The sequence below is a fragment of the Homo sapiens genome, chromosome 10 (assembly GCF_000001405.40).
Source record: "Homo sapiens chromosome 10, GRCh38.p14 Primary Assembly".
In the NCBI taxonomy this organism is placed as follows: Eukaryota; Metazoa; Chordata; class Mammalia; order Primates; family Hominidae; genus Homo; species Homo sapiens.
The window spans coordinates 124121503-124131213 of NC_000010.11; positions in this window are offsets into that span (position 1 = coordinate 124121503).

A 9711-nucleotide genomic window follows, 5' to 3' on the forward strand; every position below is an offset into this window, starting at 1 on the left:
GTGTGTGTGTGTGTGTGTGTGTGTGTGTGGTGTGGACAGGCTGTGGAGTGAGCCCACCCATGGATGGGGTGGCCTGAGGTACGTCCTGACCCCCAGGAGCTCTCCAGGCCCAGAGTGAGTCTCGGGGTGGGAGGATGGCATGCAGTGAGGTGTCAGGAGCTTGGAACAGCATGGAGCCCAGGACACCCAGGACTTGAGGCCACGCTCTCAGGAAGCCTGCTTCCATGTCCAACGTGGAAGAGCCCAGGGGTTTTGGGAGAGCCACTCACAGACTATAAGGTAAAGGGTTGGGAGCTGTTGATAGCAGAAAACTGCCYGGATAGACTTGGGAAGCCTGAATCCTGATTCTCACCACACCATTGCTTTGGCCAGGACAGAAACCCACACGAGAAAGCTCAGAAAGGGGAGTTTATCTTAAGAATCAGCAGAATTCAGGTGGAGCTGGAATGTCAACAGGACTCAGTGTCTTTCTGTCTCCATCTCTGTCTCTGCCTCTGTCTCTCTTTGCCTCACCGTTCCCCTCTCCTTTCTTCCTGGGCGACATGGCCTCTCTGCTTTCTCTTCTGATCAGACCCACBGTGCAGAATTGAGTGTGCAGGATCCAGCATATAGGATCCAGTGTGCAGGACCCGGTGTGCAGGATCCAGTGTGCAGGGTCTTGCAGTGCTGACATTCCCTCTACTAGTCTCCAGGTTGCTTGGGCCATTCCTCCATCTGACTGGGTATCCGAAAGGTGCCACCACRCCCAGGCACTGAGAAGCAAAARGGACGCAGAGTGAGTAGGCAGATCGGCCTGCATGTGCTCACTTGGTATTTCCAGTTCTCCAAGGAAAGAATCTGACTGGTCACTGGCCAAACCCTGGCTGGTCTTGGGTTCCGTCACCCCTGGTCCATCAGCTGCGGCAGGAAGAGTCGCGTGACGCCGAGGTGACCAAGCTTGAGCCTTCAGCGGGGCTGTGAGCAGGCCAGATCCGACCTGCCACCTGTCTGTGTAAATCAAACCTCATCACAAAATGACCTCAGCCATTCATTCACACATTGTCCGTGTCTGCTTTCACACTAAAACAGCAGAGTTGTGTAGTCGTGACAGAGACTCTATGGCCTGCAAAGCCTAAAATTTTTACTATGTTTTCTGAACCCTGAACTGGGAAAACAAATGTAAAAGATCCATGAGTACCACAAAGCACTGCATAATATGAGGAATTCTAGCGACAGTTACGTTGTCCCTCATCCTGCCAGGACCTCACAAGAGTCTGCTGGGCCCCCTGGATAAAGTATCAACCATCCTAGTTGTGATTTTCCATGATGCCAAACTTCCAGGCCGTTTGCAAATACGAAATGGAGCTGATCAGTCCCGGTCCTGCCGGTTGTGAATATGACCTCTGCGGAGACTGTCTCGAGGTAGCACGAGCCCATGCCAAGATGAAAGGAGATGCAGTTGTTCACCCAGATGTTGTGCTCAGCACTTCACAACCATTATCTCATTAATCCTTTCAACAACTTAATGAGGCCCGTTCTGCTGCTGCCAAATTCTACTGAAACCAAGGCTTGAGGAGGGCTCTAGAGTTGAGTACCAGACAGCGCTGTGACGGATCCTGTGTCTGCAGACACCAGGCCTCCTGCCCTTCCTCCTTGGGCTAATGAACTTTTTCTAAATCATGCATTTAAGTCACTCACTCAGTTAATATTATGTTCATAATATGTGCAAAAGACTGCGCTAGGTGCTTTGGGGAACAGAAGCAATGATGAATAAGGTGCAACCCTTGCTTCAGGGACAGCACCATCTGGGGCGGATGATGACACAGATAAACACTCGAATGCGAGGTGGAAAGAAACTAGCTCTTTGTAGAGGTTCTTAGTGAGGACTGTGGCAGCAAAAAGATAAACATTCCAGAACTTTGCAGCTAAAAAGAATCTTAGAAATTATTCATGGGCCCGGTGCGGTGACTCACACCCATGATCCCAGCACTTTGGGAGGCCGGGGTGGGCAGATCACCTGAGGTCAGGGGTTTCGAGACCAGCCTGGCCAACATGGAGAAACCCCAACTCTACCAAAAAATACAAAATTAGCCGGGTGTGGTGGTGCATGCCTGTAATCCCAGCTACTGGGGAAGCTGAGGCAGGAGAATCGCTTGAACCCGGGAGGCGGAGGTTGCAGTGAGCCGAGATCATGCCATTGCACTCTAGCCTGGGCAACAAGAGCGAAACTCCATCTCAAAAAGAAAAAAATTATTCATGTTAGTTTGGTGGCAGAGACTGACAGCCGTGACCCTAACCCATTTCCCTGCTTCCTGTGGACAACCCCCCTCCGCAGCTAGCCGTGCAGTAGGAATGGCTGGTGACTGGGATAGAAGTGGGGGTGGTGTGCACTACTTTGGGCCTGGCCCATGGACACATTTCCACATAGTATGTTCCACACTCTCTCCCCTTCCAGCTCACCAGCATGGAGATGACCCCACTGAGACCATGGAGGTAGCTGAAGATGACACTGAAGATGACAGACACAAGACAGAGGAGGCAGGGTCATCTGATCATCACCTGGAAGCTGGCTGGCTGCTGGTGCATTTGCACGGATTGACACATGAATGAGAACAAACTTGGATCATGTTGAACAGTGAGATTTGAGGCATTGTTTGTTACAGGAGCCAGTGTTATCTAACACAATAGGATCCCAACTTTGGCTCACAACTAAAATCACGTGTGGACCTTCTTTGACATCTTAGGTCCCCTGAGATCCACCCCGGATGTCCTGGTTCAGTAGATCTCGTGTATGGTCTGGACATGCACATCTTGAAAAAGCATCCTAGGTGGTTCTGATACAAACTCTGATCACGATCCTCTGGTGTCTAGACAAACTTCCTCATTTTACAGACTTTACAGAAAATGAGACCCAGAAAGATCATCGTACCAGGTCACACAGCTAGGCAGGGGCAGAGAAGGAACCATAACCTGGTCTCCTAGCACTGCATAGATTCTATGACAGAGCTCCCTGTTCAGGAATTACATCTACAAGTTCCTTGTAGCATTCTTAAACCTCCAATGGCCCTGTTGGGAGGTTTGCCAAGGCGATGTCTTTTTGTTGATAGGGCTTAGATGCAACCAAGTTATGCAAAAATATTTTGAGAAAACTGTTAACTGATTTTGGAGGTCAAAACAGTATGTTCACGTGTTTATGCCTTTCCTGCTTACAACGCACTCTCCCCACCTTTCAGGTCATCGCAAATTCCCATTCTCTTTAAAACCCTTCCTGACTATTTACGCCCATGGTTGACATCTCCTTGGCACTTCAGTAGTCAGCAAATACACACACACACACACACACACCCCACATGCAGTCATACACCTACACACACACACTCATGCCCCCCAAACACACTCATACATCCCCACACAAATTCACACATATACCAACACACATTCACAATACACCCACACACAAACGCACACATACTCCAACACACACTCACATACACCCACACACAAACTCAAACATACTCCAACACACACATACCCAAACACACACATGCACCAACACACACACACTCACAAACACACATACACCAACATACACATGCACACACACACACCAACATACAAACTCATATATAACCCCCCACGCACATGCACTCACACTCCTACACACACATATACCAACACACACACACTCACACATATAACCCCTCCCCCACACATGCACTCCCACCCACACACCCACAAACACACTGACACACCAACACACACACACTGAGACATACACCAACACCCGCATACACATAAATCCACTCACACATACACTCACACATATAACACACCCACATACATGCACTCACATCCCCACAAACTGACACACCAATATACTCACACATACACCCTCATATACTGTCACACATACACTCCACACACTGACACATACACCAACATACAAACTCACACATATAACCCCCACACACGCACTCACACTCCCACACTCCCACACACACATACCAACACACACTCACACATATAACCCCTCCCCCCACATGCACATTCACACATACACTGACACATCCACCAACACACACTCACACATACACCCACACACACTCACACATACACCAATGCACACCATACATACACTCACACATATCACACACACACACACTTGCACTTCAGCCAGCATTGTTGGAGAATGTGCATCCAATGAAATCAACTATCCCAGACCAGTGATACACGTTTTTAAAATTCAACCACATTGATCAAAAACCTTGATAAAATGTTTTGTGCATTTCTTGGATTCTCACGTAATAGGATGACTGCAATTTTCTTGATAGTTTAAGATCACCACTAGGGGCATGAGCTAACATGAAGACACCTGCTCCATCGGAGGTGGCGCGTGAGGCTCTCAGCCCTGGGCCTCGCCGTGGGTCTTTTCTCTGGTTCATGCTGCTGTTGGTGGCTCTGTTGGTGAGGATGGAGGTGCTGCTGCTGCCACTCAATCCTTCATAGAAGAACAGATAATGAGGGAGGACCGAAGCTGCTCTGCCCACACAGTCAAATGCCAGGGTTTGCAGAACCCGACTTGGCTTCTCTCTGCAGCCCCAGATCCACTTCTCAAGTTTATTCTAGGTCCAGGTTTGCTTATTCTGATTTCTAGATTGGTGGAGTGTTAGGGTGTTCACATGTTGTACACTAACTTGTCCTTGTTGTACACTGACTAATCCTGGTTGTACACTAACTTTTCCTGGTTGTACACTTGTCCTGGTTGATATGCTCATTCGTCAAACCATCTCTGTACTGTTTCTCTCCAGTCTGTGCCTCCCACACTGAGCTGGGAGCCGCTGAGGGCTGATCGTATCTCAGAGTCTTCCCGTCCCTCTTCCCCTCCCCTCTCCACGCCTTGGCCCAGCACCCATTGTGTCTTGCCACACAGTAGGTATTTCTTAATACCCTTCAGCTTTCAGTTCCAGCCCAGGGCAAACATTGTCAGATTTTATGTTAACCTTTTTTTGAAAATCTGATCCTAGCTGCAAGTCAGTGAATAGCTAAGGCACAGCAGTCGCCTCTGGGAACATTATCCTCAATGAGAAGATTTAGATTCATTAGATTTCTGCCTTTAACAAGGAAAAAAATTTACCTAGGGGGCTCAGAAGAAAATTCCATTCCATATTTTAAAGTCGCAGCCTAGATTTTTAATTTCCTAATGGATTTATAACAGGAAAAAAATTACTCCTCAATATGGTATTCTTGCCAGACACCAAATCTATTCTCATTTTGAACTCACAGTTACAAAACCCTGGCCTTTCTTCAGCTACTGCACAGAGCCCATTTGTGGCAGCAGAACTTAGAGATGCATCTGGTCGTGCTCCACAGCAGCCTTTTCCCCAGGGTGAGCACGTGGGGCTCTTGGCTGGAGCCCTGTGATGCCTGTGGCCTGGGCCTTCCTGCAAGGTCCCTGTGGATGCCTTTTCCATGCACCCACGAGGACGCCAGACCTGAGCACTCTGGGATGGCAGCAGATACCAGAAGTGGGAGGTTTTGGAGCCTGAGGAAGGAGCCCAAGAGATGGCCTCACTCTACCCTCTGGTGAGGGATGAGGAACTGGAGACCGAGAGCAGATTTGAGGACAGCCTGGATGCAAGGCCAAGACCAGACGTCCAAGCTTGTCCCCTCCACCGCCTTCCACTCACCCAGTATGCCCTGAGCACCTTTTTGTGTGCAGGGGAGCAGCAGTCCTGGTCGCACTGTGCTCATGATCTAGCTCTCTACCTCCCTGTCTCACTGGGCTTATAGTCTAGCTCTCTGCTTCCCGGTCGCACTGGGCCCGTGGTCTAGCTCTCTGCCTCCTGGTTGTACTGGGCCCGTGGTCTAGCTCTCTGCCAACCCTGCCTGACGGTGGGGAGAACTTAAGCTGGCATTTTGTCTAAATGTTCGTAATTGGCACCTCAGAGCTGAGGTTTCTTTATCAGGAACGCCAGTGTGCCTCTGAGCTGTTGGATCCTCTAGACCTACGGGCAGCCCTTCTCCTGGGCCCCGGGCCTTGGGTCTTCCACAGAGCCCTGGCAGTTCCTCCGTCCCCACTGCATGAGGTGCTGGCCTCAACTCTAAAGGAAGATCAACTCTAAAGGAAGCTCACTGCCTGGGTCAGGGTGTCGGGAAGGCAGCTTCCCCTCCACTCCCAGTTCTGACCCTCCCTGGCCCTGGGGCCTTGGGCTTCAGTTTTCTCATGCACCCTTCACGGGTTGCACTGGATAAGCCTAGAAGAGTTTTCCAGATCCGATGCTCAGGACATCATCGAGAGGATGACAACAGGGGCAGTTGGCCCAACCAAGGGGGTGCAGGCTTCCAGACGCACCAGATCAGAACGTGAGTGAGTCTCGGTTTCTGGCTTGTAGACCAGGAGACTGGGAGGGAGAAATGAACTGGGTCAAGCCCACGGTTGGTGCAGCAAGTCCAGCACAGGTGCTCAGTGAGCGGCCCAGGGATCTGTTAACCCTGCTGTCCATGGGTCCCTCCTACCAGGGTCCTACCAGGCACCCCTTCTAAGCAGGCCCTCCTGCTGGCGGGGAGTGGCCTGGCCCCCTGGGGCATCACCAGCCCTGCAGCCTCCCCTGGTCCCTGAGAGACCTGAGGGACCCTGGCCCCAGGGAACCTGAATCTCCTTAGACAAGCCCCGGCCATCAGGGTTTCCTTTGGAGTAGGCGGCAGCCCCTGTGATGACCCCGTGGGCAAGACCGGGCTTGCCTCACCCTACCTGGGCCTCACCCAGGAGGCCCCCTGAGCAGCAGTGGGACCCTGGGGGAGGGGTGGCGCAGCTGCCTACAGAAATGAACTGTTTATTCAGTCTGCAGTCCATGCTCACCGGGGCCTCCAACCCCACCCCACCCCCTCCAGCCGCTCTGGCCTAGGAAGGATCATCCCTCCCCAACCCCCCATCCACTCAACCCTGAGCGGCCCCTGGAAGATTCCACAGCCATCAGCCTCCCAGCCGCTCCTCCTGTTAGCACTCACTGGCTGGTCAGCCCACCCCAGGCCCTCATCTTGTTTTTTTCCTTGCTGTGGGTACAGAGGGGCTTCTGAAAACATGGCCACAGCTGCCATTCCTGCCCCCTCACCTGGCCAGGCTCTGGTGTTGGGATTCAGCTGCAGCCTTGGCCAGCTGGTGGTTTGAGAAGTCCATGGTTTATTTGCCACCCAGAATGCCAGGCTGGGCACCAGCCTCACCAAGGGCCAAGAGGATCACCCCTGCAGAGCCAGCCCAGCACCGCGGTGGAGGTGGACCGGGCTGGGAGAAGCTCGGCCTCCTCCTCTAAGCTTGAGCACTCCTTTGCTGAGCTCTGTTCCCAACCCCAGCAAGGTGCAAAGGGAAGGAGGGAGGGGTCAGCAGAGGGGGAAAGCAGGGACATGTCTCTCAGGAGGCTCAGCAGCAGGACTGGAGAGGCAGGGGAAGGCAGCGGTGAGGCAGACACTGGGGCCCTGGCCGGTGAGCTGGGTGTGGGCAAAGATGAGGCTCCAGCCACAGCCACTGCTCGGGGTGGTCCCCAGGCCATGCTGAGGGCTCGGCCCTTGGCCCCCAAGGAAAATGGGAAATGACACGCTTCCAGGGGTTGGAGGCAGGAGAGTGACCTGCTTAGATGCTCACCATGACCAGGTGGCAACATTCCTTTGGAAAGACATAAGTCCTTGTCCAGAATCAGCCCTAATGCCCCCTTCCTTTGCCATTATCTTCCTCTCACAGGGCAGTACCAAGCCCAGCCTGACCTTCCAAAGCCTCCTTCCATCCTCTCGATGGGCCCCGTGGCCCCCATGACCAGGCAGGCACTGGGACGGCCACCCTCCCCACTCCCCCGTGACCAGGTAGCCACTGGGACGGCCACCTTCCCCACTCCACACACTCTTGGGGGCTGCACAGATCCTGGCCCTAGAACAGCAGGGCTGGCCAGTGGGACTGAAGGTCATCCGTGGTGACAAGGACTGAGGACAGTGCCAGGTATGGGCAGGCTTCAGCCGCAGCTTCCTGGCATGGCCTGGGATCCCACATTGGTCAGGTTGGGGGCAAGGCTCAGGATGGCAGGCTAGACTCCAGTCCCCACTCTGCAGCTGCTGCCTCTGACTGTGGCACCGCTGTTCCTGACTCCTGGCCTTGGTTTCCTCTTCTGGGGAAAGGAGATGACCCAGTGAGCCTCATGGGTGGCTGTGAGTCAACGTGCTATGGAAAGGCCAGGCCTGCACAGGGTTATCGTCCTCCCTCCCTCGCCACTCCTTCCTTGCAACAGAGCCTTACCCCTACACCCTGCTCAGCTGGCCAGGCACTGGACAGAGGCAAAGGAGGCTGGAGGGCACTGCAAGCTGTGCCTGCACAGGCCTGTCCTGGTCCTACATTGCCCTAACTGCCCGTAGGGTGCTCAGCAATGACTACTGCTTGGAGAGAATCTCAAAATGCACCGAGAACATTTCTAACCAGTGTGTATTTAAAACTGGGGCCAATCCCCAGGGTGGACAGAAACTACTTTGCCACTTCTGACACCCGCCTGGAGGGCTGATCTGGGGCCCCCTTCTCCTCCTCATGAGGATGGGGGTGTTGAGGGTGGGGATAGCGGTCACAAGAGAACTCAGGAGAATCCAGCTCCTGTGGGTGGGAGAGGTGGGTGAGAACCATCTGGAATCCACCAGAGAAGATGGACTCGGTGAATGCCAGCCCGGGAGAGGTCTGAGATGGGACAGCCCAGCCCAGAGGGGACAAACGATTTGCCTGCGACCACAGTTTGGGCCATGGAGCAGAACTAGAACCAGGTCCTGGACTTCAGCCCAGCACTCTCCCTCCACATGCTGGAAGGGGAGGGCAGGCCCAGAAGGGAAGGCAGGGCTGTGGTGGGGACAGCGGGGTGGGATGGGGTCATGGGAGCAGCCCACAGCTGGAGGAGGTGGAACAGACTGTCTAGTTAAGAAGACAGGCCCAGGCTGGCTCTGCCATCTGCTGTCTGGGAGCCTGGGAAAGGTCCCTGACCTCTTGCAGCCAGGGTCACTGTCACCTCTAGTTAACAGGATAGCAATTGTACCTGTCTTGGGCAGCCATTGAGAGGATGCCAGCAGGTGACATGTGACAAGTGCTTAGCCCTTGCTGGGTGCAGGGTCTGCTCCTAGAAAATACTTATCCAGAGCCTCCTCTTTGCAGAGGACACAGGCGGCTTCAACTCCCACTCCTGTGCCCAGGTCGCCATCACATGCCTAGCTCTGTCTCCTCCCACCCCTCCTCTGACCCTGCTGTCTCCTTCCTCTTCTGCTGTCATGGTTCTCTCCCCAGATCCTCAGGGTCTGGAGGCCTCAGTACACTTGAAGTCCTGGCCAGGAGCAACCAGCAGACATTCGGCCTACCGTATGTGTGATGCCACAAAACCTAGCAGGGTGAGCAGTTTTCTCTGCCCCACCTCAGGCTCTCAGGCTCCTTCCAAGCAGCCTCTCTGGGCTCACATTCAGCTGTGCCACATCTCACTCTCTGTGACGTGCTGTGTGGCCTTAAGCGACTGCATTGCCCTCTGTGCAGCCTCACTGTAAACTGGGGACATGGATTAGATGTCCTTCAAGGCCTTTCCTGCAGAAGCTTTTAAAAATCCAAACTCCAGGGTCCAGCCCAGGCCCGGGAAAGCCAGAGAGCAAGCTCTTCCTGCTCCACGTCCACACATGTTGACTAGCCCCGTTTTGCACACATCTCCAAACAGCTATTTTCCCTTTTAA